The 16,066-nt window shown below is 42.0% G+C and overlaps 1 protein-coding gene across 12 annotated transcripts in view, besides 1 other annotated feature; it reads right to left on the bottom strand.

Annotated features, from left to right (window-relative positions):
* FYN (FYN proto-oncogene, Src family tyrosine kinase) overlaps positions 1-16,066 on the bottom strand; it is a 213,121-nt gene that overhangs the window by 118,914 nt on the left and 78,141 nt on the right. For 9 of the 12 annotated variants that reach the window (XM_047418569.1, XM_047418561.1, XM_005266892.5 and 6 more), the window contains one exon: positions 1,321-1,390. The gene's annotated coding sequence lies outside the window, so the exon portion shown is untranslated. Of the gene's footprint in view, positions 1-1,320; positions 1,391-14,377; positions 14,699-16,066 lie in introns of those variants that run through there. The other 3 variants (XM_047418572.1, XM_047418568.1, XM_017010650.2) reach the window with 1 other exon arrangement.
* Positions 3,221-3,515: a silencer, noted in NCBI's record as "tiled region #12906; K562 Repressive DNase matched - State 8:EnhW". NCBI's record gives its function as "represses a minimal TATA promoter and a strong SV40 promoter by Sharpr-MPRA in K562 cells {active_cell/tissue: K562}" and the evidence as "EXISTENCE:reporter gene assay evidence [ECO:0000049][PMID:27701403]".

Raw genomic sequence — 16,066 nt, forward strand, 5'->3', positions numbered from 1 at the left:
ACTGGCCCATCTGCAATGCCACGGCTGAGTTTCCCAACCACAGGTAAAGGCCCCACCCAAAAGCCAAATTCTTTCAGTCAAAGCTCAAAAATTTCAGCCCAGCAATTGGATCCCTGTGAAGGCTACGTAATAAGCATAGACAAAAACGTAAAATCAAAAGAAAGGTTTGGAAATGAAAGTTTAAATATGGCAACTGAAGTCCAACCAATGGTATCATCTACCCCCACCCTTCTTTCCTCATAAATGTGATTCAAAATGACATTAACTCCAAAAATGAACACAGCTCAAACAAGGTGACCTCACTGGTTGTGAGGATGGCAGGAAGGGAATTATTTAGCCAAGCTTGTCTAAGAATGGGTCACCAGGGTTGGAGAAGGTGGTAAATGTTGCAGGGATTCCCACAGGTTCTTATGAAGTGAATATTGGAGGAGGGGTTGTGGTGAGTAGCTGGGATGCTCTAGCAACATCAAATGGATGTAACCGGCCCATCCCCAGCTGCCTTCCTGCTGGAAAATAAATATGCCTCTTGGTAGCCTGACTTCAATGGGAAATGTCTAGTCTCCAAACAAGGCTGCTCTGTTCCTAAGAATGACTGGCTTTATTGAACACTTACTATGCTCCAGCACTACCTACCTCATTTTATTCTCACAACAACCCTATGATGTAGGTAACATGATAAGCCTCATTTTACAGAAGAAGAAACAGGCTCAGAGAGGTTATCTAACAACCAGTAGGTATAGAACTTACATTTTAACCCGGGTCTCCTGATCCCAAAGACTGTCCTCTTTCCCTGCTAGCAAGGTCTGGGTGGTTGCTGAATTGAACGTTCTTGGTCTCCCAAGACCACTGTTATGCTGGTCTGTGGGCTGGCTCCCAGGCAAGCTGGACTTGTAGCTTCCTTTAATTTTCCATTTCCTAAGCTGCCTGCTTCTCTTTCTTTTAATATATGGGTCACACGGATCTCTCTGCTTTGGAGAATTTATTTTATTCTTTGGGTCTGCAAGTTTATTACTCTTATATTATATGGCTGGCTTAGCACATAAACTGCCAAGGGTATTCTTTAACCGGCATCCGGAAACTTTTCTAAATATACACTTATTACGTTTTAGAAAACCCCATATTGCTTAATACTATCAGCAATAACAAGAAAAAGTATCACACTGTCAGAAAACATCAATTCAATGTCACATTTAATTATAGAACTCCATTCTGCCTGAGTTTAGTGCAGAAGTAAAAGATGGACAGAACAAGGCAACAGCTTCCCTTCGTGAGCACCCTTTTACAGCAAGAGGCATTAGAAGTAAATGCAGCAACACTTACCAAAATGTCCGCCAACGATCACAAACTTTATATACACCACATGTCTTCTACAACAGAGGCAGGACTGGTCCTGAAAAACAATACCACAACAAAAGAAAAACCACATCATTAAACAGAAATAATTGAACACATATTATGTTTCTCTCTGTAAACTGCAACCTCTTCCTCTGCTTCGGGCACCCATCGATGTACTAAATTCCACCTACCAGTTTCCTCTGTTTTTCCCAGGAAGATGAAACCAATTTACAAATTATCTCAGTATTCACTAATAAAAAATTTTAAAACTGGACAATGAAATATACCAGAAACTATGCTTATAAATATCTGAATGTTTAGCCCTTTGAAATATTTGAAGACAAGAGAACAATGGAAAAATATCTGCAGTTGAACTCACAACATATTCCCCCAAACCAATTCCTCTTTTCTTTCTTTCCAGTAATATCCTCCCTTCTTGCCAGCTAGCTGTGAGACCCTGGACAGTTTTCCTAACCTTTCTTTTCTAGGCTTTATTATGTGTAAAATAGGGATTACTGTACTGACCTCATAGGGTTGCTATGAGGATTAAATGATATCAACTAAAGAACATACACGACATAGAAGGGCTTATAACAGCCTCTGGCACACAGTAAACACTCAGTAAGCCTGAGCTGTTATCATCATTCTCCCAGTCCCTCGGGCCTGTAAACTAACACCGCCTTCTTCACCTCCACTGCAAACCTTGGCCCAGTCCAGCCCCGCAAGAATTTCACAGTGGTGCTGGGAACACATTGCTTCTCCCTATTCTCATCGTTACACTCCATCTGGTCAGCATCATGCCTGGCATACACTGGTCTCTTGGCCTCCAGTTTCTTCCCTTCCCATCCAACTCTCATGGCTGCACAAGGAATCCTTTCTAAACACAACCTACACAGCCTGTCTTTCCTCAACGGATGCACCTTCCACCACTTCCTATGACCTGCGAATTTACCTGTCGAGTCATGTTAGCCTGGCACTCAAGCTCACCCCAGCTTTTCGACATTATCCTATCAAATGCTGTAACGCCCAGAGGCCTGTCCGGCCTCTGAGCCTCTAGGCAGGCCATCCCTCCTCTGGTAGGAGGCCTGGCCATTGTCAAGGGCAGGGGCTCTTTACCTTTTGTGCTATGGCAGTCTAAAGACATCTTTCTCAGAATGATGTTTACAAATGCTTGAAACTAATACATGAAATGCACAGGAGTCAAACAGAGTATACTCTTATACAGTTATCAAAATATTTGACAAAATTGTTATGAACATCTTTCAATACTTAAATAATTTCCAACAAGTCTAATATACTGTAATTTTGAAGTACTATTAGGCATAAATGATACTTCAGAATATCTATAACTATGAAAATATTCATAATTTCTATTAAGGACAAATAGCTAATGCTACTTTCATAATATTAGGAAATGTACGATTTCAGATAAGGGTTAGAGACAATGATGAGATCATGTTTTTCCCCATCCAACTTCATCGGCCCCCTGAATTACATGCATGGACCCAGCTTTCAGGCCTAGCTTCATTCTCATTGACTTTTCCACCTTGATTTTCCCAAAGCAGTATTATCTTATGCCTCTTTATTTTTCTCTTTTTAAAAGTACTTTATTTGATATAGGTACTTTAAATAAATGTACTACTTTTAAAGTCAGCCTTTTAAGTTGTCAGGGAAGGTCCTATCTTCTTCCCTATTTTAAAACTCCTTCCACAGTTAATAATGCCTCGCCTTATCACAGCACAGCAGGGAGGCGCTCATCAGGACTGCTGAGTCCATCCACGGGTAATGGTGCAATCTGCTTGTCCTACATGAGCTCAGGTAATCATTAATATTATCTCATTGCTCCTTCGCAGCCTATGAGGTCCTAAACATGTAGATGGGACACCTAAGCATTCTATATTTAGACTATAAATTACTGAAGTTAGGCAACACAATGTTGTCTTGTTTAATACTTCTCTTTTGAGAGTGAGTGATTAGTCCATGCTGTTGACTGACAGATCACCTGGGAACAGACTAGCTGTTCAATCATTCTGTCAATATAGAGGGCGCCTGTGTGACACAAGCATAATGCCTGCCTTCCTGGGGCTTCAAGTCTAGCAGCTTTCCCCAGCTAGCCCAGAGTAGCAGATACTCTCTCAACCTTTCAGGTCCTTTGAATAGACAAGACACAACTTGTGATTTCCTAAGTATGGGCACTTTGGTGATCCATGCTGGTGAGGCCAGGTACAGTTGCTCTGGCCTCTACAAGAGACCACACCAAGCTCCAGCTTCCCATCAGTCTCACAGATGTGAACCGGTGGTTCTGAGGCAGGTGGGACAAATAGACTGAGCAGTGAAATTCCATGTCCCCTCCTGGGTGATGTTGTCTTTGCACATGAGGTCCAGGACAGCAACTACCACAGTGACTATCTTGGGAAGGTCTACTCAGTGCTTGTCCACATACTTCATGCTAAGCACGCTGAGCCTGTGATTGTCCAGCCTCAGCGTGGACACTGGTCCCTCCATCTTATCAGCCTTTTTCCTGAACAGCTGCAGCTCAGGAATCCTGTGTATCTTTTGTCAAGCACAACAAAATAACAGAACAGTTCTTCCTTTTCAAACGAATAGAGCATAATGACTTTCTCCACTGAAAACCACTTATAAGGGCATTGTGACCATTTGCTTTGGCAGAAATTCACCATTGGCAGCATTTTTCATACCCAATATCATGACAAGTGACTCTTAGGACAAGTGGGGGTGTACTCTCCCTCCCCAATAACCATGACTGATGAGATTTCCACTCACAGAACAAAGGCTGGATTTGGCACACTCTTTTTATACTTAAGGCTATTTCAATCCATTTCATTTGAGTTTGTTCTTTTTGAGACACACCAGATATATGGTATTCATTACCAATAAAAATAGCTGAATGATAACAAAACGGGTGGCATGACTGTTTAATCTTTTGTTTCAAGAGCTGCAACGCCTGCATCACCATAAATGAATGAAATTTTCGTGAGTGCTCCCACGTAACAATTCTGCTTTTAATACATATCACAGACTATTGTATGACTCCCGGTATAAAGTTAAAATGCTAATTACACACTGAAAACAAGCATCTCTAATATAGTTCTCATCTGCATGTGGTCATTCCCTCTTTCTTCTTCCCAAAAGAGCCCCCATATTTCTGCACCCACAGTGCTCATGGGCACATGGCAGCACGCCCAGCTGGGAGTGGGGGCGGGACAGTCCAAGGTTTTGCAGTGTGCTGACCTGCAACATTCGCATCAACCAGGAGCTTGTAAGAGCTGTCAGCTGAGGCCTCACCCAAGCCAACTGAATCAGAATTGATTTTGAAAGTTTCCCCAGGTGATCTGTGTGCACACTGAAGTTTGAGAAGCATCGATCCAAGAGATACCCATTCCTACTGCCAGTGATTGGTTTAAGAATAAGCATGTGGCCCAATTTAAGCCAATGAGATGTGAAGAATGTTTTTCTGGGAGCTTCTACTCACTCCTTTGGGAGAAGCTCCCTCCTTCTGAATGTAGTGTGGAATGCGCCACCTAGAACTTCCACAGCTATTTTGTTTCAGTATAAGGATAAAGCTGGTCCAGAGACAGAACAAACACAGGGAAGCAGAGTGTAGGTTACTGCATTAGGTTGGCGTTGAAGTCTGTGGCATCTCTGTATTTCCAAGAAATGTCTTCTTGTTTAGGACTCCTTGACTTGGGTTTTCAATTACCTGCAGCTGGAAAACATCCTGACTAATCAGTCTCCAACAAAGCATTATAAAAAGAACAGAATGCCAAGGCCCTGGGCTCAATCATATGAGGGACAAGGCAGTAGGTCCAGAGATCAAAGCCATAGTTGAGAAACTCGTTTTGCTCAGGGAACTGACCCCATAGTATTTCCAGTCCTGATAACCATGGTACATTTGCACATTTCCAACAGCTTTCTAAATCAGCCAGTCTAAACGATCAACTGGAGGAAATGCTGAACACTTTCCAAATTATTTTAACCAGGATGGTCAACAGTTGCCCTCCCCAGAAGCCACACTGATATGTCATTTCCTGCAAAGACAATGGGAGACTAATTGCTCAGCTTCAGACTCTAACAGGGAAGACAACCTGTGATATGTAATTACTGAAGGGTAAAAAAGGAAAAGCTTGAGGCTCTCCAAATCTGTTTCTGGATCTGCTCCAATTACTTGGGGAAAAGGAAAAAAAATAAAAGAGCCAGCTGGTCTGGGAAAAGATTTGAGGGACTGGCAGTTCACTTGGGAAGCCACCCATACGTATTTTATACGTATCACTGGTACTTATTAAAGACCTTTCTGAGGAAACCAAATAGACCAGCTATTATACAAAATCATACGTGGCTTTGGTCTAATTCTGCTTCACACATAGAAGTGACAGAGTCAAGGAGAAATGGATGTCTAAATGGACATTATCTCTTTGGTGTGTCCTAACTTCTTAGCCACAAGAGCATATTTCTGGGGTTAGGTTTGTTGTATTGACTTGATGAAGAAACGTGCTTTCTATCAAGGAGTGGAAGAACATTGATTGGTTCTCCACAGGATGTTCCCAGGTTCTGTCTCCTCAGAACTCGTTCTCTCTCAATACTGTTTTGCTATCTCTTTCCTGGTACATACAATTCCACTGTCCCAACTGTCATCCCATGGGATAAGTTTCACACTACATCTCTAGATCTATCTCCCATGTTCCCAGCTCCTCTGCCACCCCCTACAGATAGTGCCTTGAGGGCACGAATTTTGTTTTGGTTACTGTTATTTTCCCAGTGCTTAGCACAGTAGCTGGCACTGAATATGAAATGTTTGTTGAATGAATAAATGAAAGGCTTCACTCAGACTCACAGAAGTTCTTGCCATCACCACCTCTCTCTGACTCTGGCCTCTCTTTTCCCCGCTTCCCAACACACACAAACTCTGGTTACAGCACTTCTCATGTCACTCCCAGACTGTCTCAGCTGGGAAGGATTTAGCAGCCCAACCCTATGCTTTACAGGGAGAAAACGGGTCCATCAAGGCCAAGAGACTTGCCCAAGTTCTTATTAGTGGGTGGCAAAGACAGGAATTTTTTTTCTTTTTTTCTTTTTTTTTTATTACTATACTTTAAGTTCTAGGGTACATGTACACAACGTGAAGGTTTGTTACATATGTACACATGTGTCATGTTGGTGTGCCGCACCCATTAACTCGTCATTTACATAGGTATATCTCCTAATGCTATCCCTCCTCCCTCCCCCGACCCCACGACAGGCCCCAGTGTGTGATGTTCCCCTTCCTGTGTCCAGGTGTTCTCATTGTTCAATTCCCACCTGTAAGTAAGAACATGTGGTGTTTGGTTTTCTGTCCTTGCAATAGTTTGCTGAGAATGATGGTTTCCAGCTTCATCCATGTCCCTACAAAGGACATGAACTCATTCTTTTTTTATGGCTGCATAGTATTCCATAGTGTATACGTGCCACATTCTTTTATTTTAAATTATTTTTTTATTATACTTTAAGTTCTAGGGTACATGTGCACAACGTGCAGGTTTGTTACATATGTATACATGCGCCATGTTGGTGTGCTGCACCCATTTACTTGTCATTTACATTAGGTATATCTCCCAATGCTATCCCTCTCTCCTCCCCACAACCCATGACAGGCCCTGGTGTGTGATGTTCCCCTTCCTGTGTCCAAGTTTTTTCATTGTTCAATTCCCACCTATGAGTGAGAACATGCGGTGTTTGGTTTTTTGTCCTTGTGATAGTTTGCTGAGAATGATGGTTTCCAGCTTCATCCATGTCCCTACAAAGGACATGAACTCATCCTTTTTTATGGCTGCATAGTATTCCATGGTGTATATGTGCCACATTTTCTTCATCCAGTCTATCATTGATGGACATTTGGGTTGGTTCCAACTCTTTGCTATTGTGAATAGTGCCGCAATATGTGTGCATGTATCTTTATAGCAGCATGATTTATAATCCTTTGGGTATACACCCAGTATATACCCAGTAATGGGATTGCTGGGTCAAATGGTATTTCTAGTTCTAGATCCTTGAGGAATCGCCACACTGTCTTTCACAATGGTTGAACCAGTTTATAGTCCTACCAACAGTGTAAAAGTGTTCCTATTTCTCCACATCCTCTCCAGCACCTGTTCTTTCCTGACTTTTTAATGATCGCCATTCTAACTGGTGTGAGATGGTATCTCATTGTGGTTTTGATTTGCATTTCTCTGATGGCCAGTGATGATGAGCATTTTTTCATGTGTCTGTTGGCTGCAGAAATGTCTTCTTTTGAGAAGTGTCTGTTCATATCCTTTGCCCACTTGTTGATGGGGTTGTTTGATTTTTTCTTGTAAATTTATTTGAGTTCTTTGTAGATTCTGGATATTAGCCCTTTGTCAGATGAGTAGATTGCAAAAATTTTCTCCCATTCTGTAGGTTGCCTGTTCGCTCTGATGGTAGTTTCTTTTGCTGTGCAGAAGCTCTTTAGTTTAATTAGATCCCATTTGTCAATTTTGGCTTTTGTTGCCATTGCTTTTGGTGTTTTAGACATGAAGTCCTCGCTCATGCCTATGTCCTGAATGGTATTGCCTAGGTTTTCTTCTAGGGTTTTTATGGTTTTAGATCTAACATGTAAGTCTTTAATTCATCTTGAATTAATTTTTCTGTAAGGTGTTAGGAAGGGATCCAGTTTCAGCTTTCTACGTATGGCTAGCCAGTTTTCCCAGCACCATTTATTAAATAGGGAATCCTTTCCCCATTTCTTGTTTCTGTCAGGTTTTTCAAAGATCAGATGGTTGTAGATGTGTCGTATTATTTCTGAGGGCTCTGTTGTGTTCCATTGGTCTATATCTCTGTTTTGGTACCAGTACCATGCTGTTTTGGTTACTTAGCCTTGTAGTATAGTTTGAAGTCAGGTAGCGTGATGCCTCCAGGCAAAGACAGGATTTTAACTCAAGACCCAGCACCCCTGCTACCAGGCAACTGACCAGTTCAAAAATCTTCAACGGTCTTTCAGTACAACCTTGTACAGGGCCTGGTATGCAGTAGGCATTTAATATCTGTTGAGTGACTGACTGAATAAATTAATGGGTCTCACGCATATGCCAATGGGTTTTAGTTTTTCTCAAAGTGGAACACTCCTCAAAAGACAGACAATATCCTTGTATATAAAATGAAGATGAGAGGAGCTACTCTCTCCTCTATAACTGGGGGAGCAGCTGGCACACCAGACTTCTTCCCCTGCAGTGCCTAAGCCAGCTCCCAGGAAACTCAGGGCTTGGTGACACTGCTAGAAAGACCAATGACTTCCACAAACTTTTCAGCTTTGCACTCAAAGCCATCCACCATCATTCCAAACCCACCACATCAGCCGTATCTTTCATTTTTTCCTCCTCCCTCATGCCTTGCCTTCTCAGAGCACTTGCTGTTCTCACTTGTCCCTCCTCGGAGCCTTCACCTGTCCTATTTCCTCTCTTATTGTGCCCTCATCTCCACCTGCAAGAATACAGAACCAACCTGTCCCTCAAGCCAGCTCTCGTATAAATCCCTCCCTGAAGTTCTTGCCCAGTTCCCCCACTAGAATTAGTCTTACTCTCTATATACCTCTACTGTACAACTTTTCACGCTATCTGCTGCAAGGAAAATGGCCAGGTCCTTGAGGGCAAGAATGCAGGCTAAATGTATCTTCGAACCATTGGCACCTTGTCTGACCCAATGCCTTGCACAGAGGAGACAGTTCTAGTCATTCTGTTGCATTCAAAGGGCTTCATCCTTTTTCGTTCACCTCTGTGACCAAATTACATACATTTTGTAGCTGAGATTCCAATTCTTCCTCTAGCATGTATAGACTGATGATACAGCTAACACACACTTGCAGGGCCCACTTGCTAAGGAACTGCTGTGTGAGTCTTTGTTGAGTCTCATTTTCGAAAGCAAAGAATGGGGGTGAGGGGAGACAGGGAGCATGAATTCCACTCCCCTCCAAAGCTCTCTGTGCCCATGGCTATCCTGTGCAACATGAGGTACAAGCTGGGAAGCTTGTGCACAAAAATAACTGTCAATTTAAAATATAGTATAGTCCTACAACCTGCCATGCTACAATATTCTCTGCAAGCCCAAACTTGATTGTCTGAAAAATTAGAGTTCCAAATGGTGAAATAAACCATTAAACAAGGAAGCATACAAACAAAGCCCAATTGCCAGGGAGGAGGATGGGAACTAGAAAATACAGGGTTTCCTAGGAAACTGAGCTTACTTTTGACTGACTGTGGCCTTCCCTTTCACTGGATATAGTGGGTGGGAGGGAGGTGGGAGGGGTGCTCTGAGAAGGCAACACTGACCCATCTGCTTCCCCTGCCTGCAGGGGCTAGAGTCCTTCTGGCTACACTCCAACAGGAGGGCAGACTCAAGCAAGGTTGTGGTTGTTGTTTTATTATTTGCTTGAGTGGGAGTAAACAGCAGAGAGAGAAGAGGAGGAGGAGGAGGAGAGATGAATAGAAAAAGAGATAAGCATGGAAGGTGCTCAGCCAGCAGAAAGGAATTAATGACCACAGAATGAGGGGGCAGGAAGGTCACAAGCTGGCTGCTCCCTTCTCATTGGCTATTGCCAGGTCTAGAGGGGATCAGAGGCTCACTGTTGAGCAAGGCACCAATATAAGCTCATGCTCAGCTGCCCTAGAGGCCAGGTGTAGGGGTCCCAGCATCCATGGCTCTGAAGCTGGACTGGAGAGATAAAGATTTGGGGCTCATTGGCACACATGGGTGGGCAGAGTCATGCAAATGGATGACTGGATGGGTGGGGGTAGGGCTTTAGCTCCCCATCTCCAATCCCCATCAACCCCCAGGCAATAGTAGTAGTAGCAGCAGTAGTACTGATATCATTTCATATTATTATTACTATATTTCAACGTTAAGGCCATGAGTACCCAGTTTATTTGGGGAATAAATAAAAGAAACAAATGCCATTGGAATAATCAGTTGACTATCTGGAGGAAAAAACAACAATTCTGCTTCTATGAGACTCATGAGAATGAAGCATACAGTTATAATAATCATGTCTTTCTTTTCTTACTGGTAATGAGTCCCTGTCAGGTGATCACATCACATGTATCAGGAAAAAAAGAAAATAAAACAAAAACTCTGTTCTGTAGTGTACTTGAATTCTTCCGACTTGCCCTTTTAAATTAAGCTGTTCCTAAGATCTGCAATCCACAGTCTGAACAGAAACACTGCTTTGCTATGATGCAAGCGCAGCTGCTGGACACGTCTAGCTCTCTTCCAACCGGATTACTACTCCCAAGTCCCTCCAAGTAGACATTCTGGAGTGGCTCTGGGGAAGGCCCATGAAATACACACAGTATCACAATGCTGCCAAGATCAAAGTTAATAATGATGTGTGCAGAGCCCCTTGAGTTTAGGTTGGCTACAATATCAGAATCCCAGAACCTTGGGGCTGAACGGAATGTTAAAGAATAACTAGTCTGATAGTTTTTAAGCTATTCTTTAGTATCAGAACTGTGTGTGTGTGTGTGTGTCCATGCCAAATGTGTAACAATTATGCCAAAAGATATCCAGCTAGCACACCACATACCTGGAGAATCCATTATAATGGGAACCATTTTATTTCAAAAAAAAATTCTTTTCTTGTTATTGGTAGTTCTGAACCTTAGATACACACACACACACACACACACACACACACACACACACACACACACACACATTCTGAAGGGCTCAACTCCAAAATATTAGATAAAAGTGCAACAGAACAGCTCTGGTTCAAGAGGGAAAGGACTCAAACTCCTACCTCCATGGCCATCCTCCTGGCCTACCTGGTACTTCTGGGTAACTCTAAAGTCCTAAGAACACTGAAAATCTCAGATCGAGTCTCCCACCCCTAACCAGTATCTGAGTCTTCTCTCACATCTCTTCCAGCCCACGTGCACGTTCTCAATGTTGCAACACTGGAGACCAAGGGCATCTACCAGGGGTTCCCTACCAAGGACCTGTTTTATCCACCTGCGCCTCCCACATTTTGAATTATCTCACTAACATTGCATTTTAAAGTAATAATTGATTTATTTTCCCAGCTCTGATTTGGAGTCAGGGAGATCTTGATCTGAATCTCAGTTCTGCTAAGCTTGGTAAACTTGGAAAAATTCCTCAATAATGTGAAGTAGTAAGCCTGGTAGAAGCCTTCCTTCTCTCTCTTGGCTTTTTATTTCATCAACACAAATCTCCATCAAAAGAATACCTAATACCTAGGAATAAGTCCAACAAAAGATATGTAAGACTTTATGCTGAAAATGACAAAACGTTATTGAGAGAAATTACAGAAGACCTATATAGAGGGTTGGGCCATGTACATGGGCTGGAAGTCCAATATTTTTATATGTCAATTCTCCTCGCAATTGCATCTTAACTGAACCACCAATTTTTTTTGTTTTTAAACTAGGTCTTTTTTTTCTGATGGAAATTGACAAGCAGATTCTAAAGTTTATAAGCAAATGCAAAGGGCCAAAAGCCAAGTTAATCCTGAACAAGAGGAACAGGGCTGGAAGACTTATTCTACCAGATACAAAGATTCACTATAGAGTAATAGTAAAAGTGTGACATTTGTGCAAGGCCAAACAGACCAAGAGAATAAAATAGAATGTCCAAAAATAGAGCTACACAGTCACCTAACTTATGCAAAGGTGACAATGAAGTAATAAATGTATAAAAGTATGCATAAATGTATAAAAATAAAATATAAATGTATAAAAATAAAAGTAATAAATGCTGGGTTCACTGGGTAGTATAGATTGAACCGTGTCCCCCAAAAAGATATGAAGTTCTAACCCCCAAGTACCTCAGCATCTGACTTATTTGGAAATAGGGTTGTTGCAGATATGATTAGTTAAGATGAGTTATAGTGAATTAGTATGGACTCTGAATCCAGTGACTGTCCTTAAAGAAAGAAAAAAATCTACACAGAGACATGTGGGGAAGACGGCCATGTGGCCACAGAGACAGAGGTCAGAGCAATGCAGCTGCCAAGAAAGGAATGCCAAGGATTCCTGGCCACCACCAGAAGCTGGGAATAGGCAAGGAAGGACTCTTCCCTAGAGCCTTCATCAGAGAGACCATGACCCTGCTCACACCTCGATTTTGGACTCCTAGCCTCCAGAATCATGAGAGAATAAATTTCTGCTGTTTTAAGCCACCCATTTTGTGGCACATTGTTATAATAGCCTAGGAAATGAATACAATGGGTATCCGTATGAAAGAAATGAATCTTAACTTCCACCGTATACCATGCAAAAATTAATTCTGGATGAAGAATAGAACTAAATGTGAAAGGCAAAATAATAAAGCTCTTAGAAGAAAACATAGAGAACACCTTCATACCTTGTAATAGGTAAAGATGTTTCTTAAAAGAGAACACAAAAAGTGTTAACCACGAAGGAAAATATAATTTGGACTATACTAAAATTAAAAATGTCTTCATCAAATGACATCAACAGAATCAAAGGGAAGCCACAGAGTGGAGAACATAATTGCAATACATATATACAACAAATAACTCTAAAAATCAATAAGGAAAAGGCAGACAATCCAATAAAGAAATAGACAAATACTCGAGAGGACAAAACAGAAAATCCAAATGGCCAATAAACATATAAAAAGATGCTCTAATTCAGCCATCAAATAAAAGCAAATTAAAACCACAACGCATTACCAATACACCTACAGGACTGGCTAAAATGATAAAGACTAAAACCATGAAGTGCTGGTAAGGATACAGAGCAACTGAAACTCTCATACATTGCTAGTGGGAGTGTCCACTGATAACTGGCAGTTTCCATTGAACACACACATCCTGTGATCCCAGATCCTGCCATCCAGAGCCTATCCTACAGAAATGCTACATATGCTTACCCACTGATATGCACAAGAATGATCCTACCAGTACTATCTCTAACAGCCCCAAACTCGAAATAACTCAAAAGGCCACTTACAAGAGAGGGGCTAAATACATCTTGATATGTTAAACAGTATTACACAGCAATGAAAATGAACAAACTACTACTTATAACAACATGGATGAATCTCCTAAATATAATGTTATTCTATTGACACAAGACAGTGCAAACTGGGGGACATCCAGGCTGTCCCCTAGTCTTGCGGCAGCTTGACCTCTGCCATCTGCTAGGTCCTCTCCTGCTTCTGGTCAATTTTATTTATATAAAGTTCATAATAGATAAAACCAATCTTTCTTGTTAGAAGTCATGCTATCAGTTACCCTTGATGGAAACTGGGGTGTATTGGGACTGGATGGGGACCTGAGGGGACTCCTAGTGTTTAAGTGACATTCTTTTTCCACCTGGCCGCTGGTTACAAAGGAGAGTTCACTTTGTGAACATTCATTATCAGTGCACTTAAGAATTTGTGCACTTTTCTGCATGAATGCTACATTTCAATTAAAAAAAAATCATCTCAGGGCGAACACGATGAAACCAGAAACAAAACAGAGCTCTTATAAGTATCGAAAGCAAAAAAGCACAGCAATTTAATTTAAGCAAGATAATTTGAAAATTTGCTGCACTAAAAGCTTAGAAGTGCCATTTCATTAAATTACGTTTTTTAATTCACTTTAAGATGAATGTCAGGCCAAAGCTATTTTATTACTATATGTTAGGATGGCATGAAGCAAATAGTCTCAAAATAAAATAATACACATCATTTAAATTTTATCTTACTGATTTTTTAAAGTGAAGTTTCGGATATTCAAGCCCATTTTTTTTTTTCCACATTAGTTAAAAACCGTTTCCTGGGGCCTTGGTTTACAGTCTGCGCATCCCCAGATGAGAAAGCCCTTGGGATAAACGGGTTTTCCCTCTGTGGCACAAAGTAGGCACTCAACATTGCTCTTCCAGAGTCAGTCCATAAGATCGGCTCATTCCTGCCAATGGAAGCAACAACAGCTCAGCCTGCCTTTGCACTGTCACTCTGGATAAATGCATAATTTCTGTCAGTCTGAAATAGTGAAAATAACCATTCCCACCTTTGTGAATTTCTGGGGCTCTTTAGATCCCCCTCTGGAATATACATGGTCATGAGGTCCAGAGTCTTCACCCAGGCTGTCCCCCAGTCTTGGGGCAGCTTGACCTCCGGCTTCTGCTAGGTCCTCTCCTGCTTCTGGTCAGTCAATCCATTATCATTAGCCATGTGCTCCACAGAGCTGCTCCACCTACCACTGAAATAAATCCCTTGGAGCATAGAAACCGCGTGGTCACACTCTGGCTTTCTCAGACACTTTTGTTCTCTTGGACCCTCTGGGAGGGGAGGAGATCTACGCAGGCACCGAGATGGACATCCTGAGACTGCAGGCAGCCCCCACAGGAAGTGAGAGGCAGCCACACACACCTCGGCTTGCATTCTGGGTTGCGAAAGAAACCATGTGGGGACTGTGGAGACCTCACTCACCCTCCAGCCTGCCCCTACCTGGGAGAAGATCCCGGGGCAGGGCCCCTGCCACTGAGCTGCTCTCCTCCATCCGCCATGAGGACACCCGGGCCTTTCTTTGGTCACTCTGTTTCCCTGGATATTAGCTTCCCAAAGGAGAGCCCTCCTTAAATTCAAGCTCTGTTGTTTTTGCATAGACTTTTCGGTGTCAACTCTATTCCTAACTTCACCATCTGACAAAAAATTGTGTGGGTCCTTTAAGAAGGTCCCCCATCCCTAATTAGAGTTCTCTGGTAAGAAGATAACATATGCTTTTTAAATAACTTTTGATCATGAATGCCACAGAGATTTTCCTACTGAAAACACAGAGGAATCACAAGGGTCAAATAAGATAATCAGTTCAAAATGTACATGGACAGAGGAAAATCACCTAGGTCAATTCCTCGAGAGTCTGCAGCCAGAAGACTGAGGCTCTACCAGCAAGGGCAGTGGTGGGCAGCGGTCAGCAACCCCCAGCCTGCGGATCAGATCTGGCCTGCTGCCTGCTTTTGTACAGTCCATGAACTGAGAATGGTTTTTACATTTTTAAATGGTCACAAAAAATCAAAAGATTATTTCATCACACATGGAGATTATACAAAATTAAAATCTCAGTGCCCGTAAGTAAAGCTTTATTGGAACACAGCCATACCCACTCGTTTCCATATTGTCTATGGCTGCTTTCACACACAACAGCAGAATTGTCTTGATAGAGACTGTATGGCCCGCAAAGATGAAAATATTTACTATCTGGCCCTTTACAGAAAATGTTTGCCAACCCTGGGCTAAGGTGATGTCTGTGTTTGCAGAAGGATGTCCACTCTGATTCTTACTGTTTTGTGCCTCTGGGCCTGTCTCCACACTAAGTCACAGGCAAGTCCTAATGCTGGTTTCAATTTCACACTAACCGGGTAAGCCAACACAACCCGCTAAAGCACACTCTTTTAACCTGTGGTCCCGAGTCAATTCAATGGGTCACAAAATTTAACTTGGTTGATTCTGCCCAGCATTTTCTTTAATGAAATACAGATAAAAATATCAAGGGAACTGTTATTGACTGAATTGTATCCCTCCAAAATTCATGATTGAAACCCTAAACCCTAGCACACATCAGAATGTGACTATATTTGCAGACAGGCCTTTAAAGAGGTAACAGAGTTAAAATGAGGTCATATGGGCAGACCACAACTCAATATGACTAGTATCCCTATAAGAGGAGGAGATTAGGACACAGATACACACAAAGGAA

Source organism: Homo sapiens, chromosome 6 (genome assembly GCF_000001405.40).
Source record: "Homo sapiens chromosome 6, GRCh38.p14 Primary Assembly".
Lineage (NCBI taxonomy): Eukaryota > Metazoa > Chordata > Mammalia > Primates > Hominidae > Homo > Homo sapiens.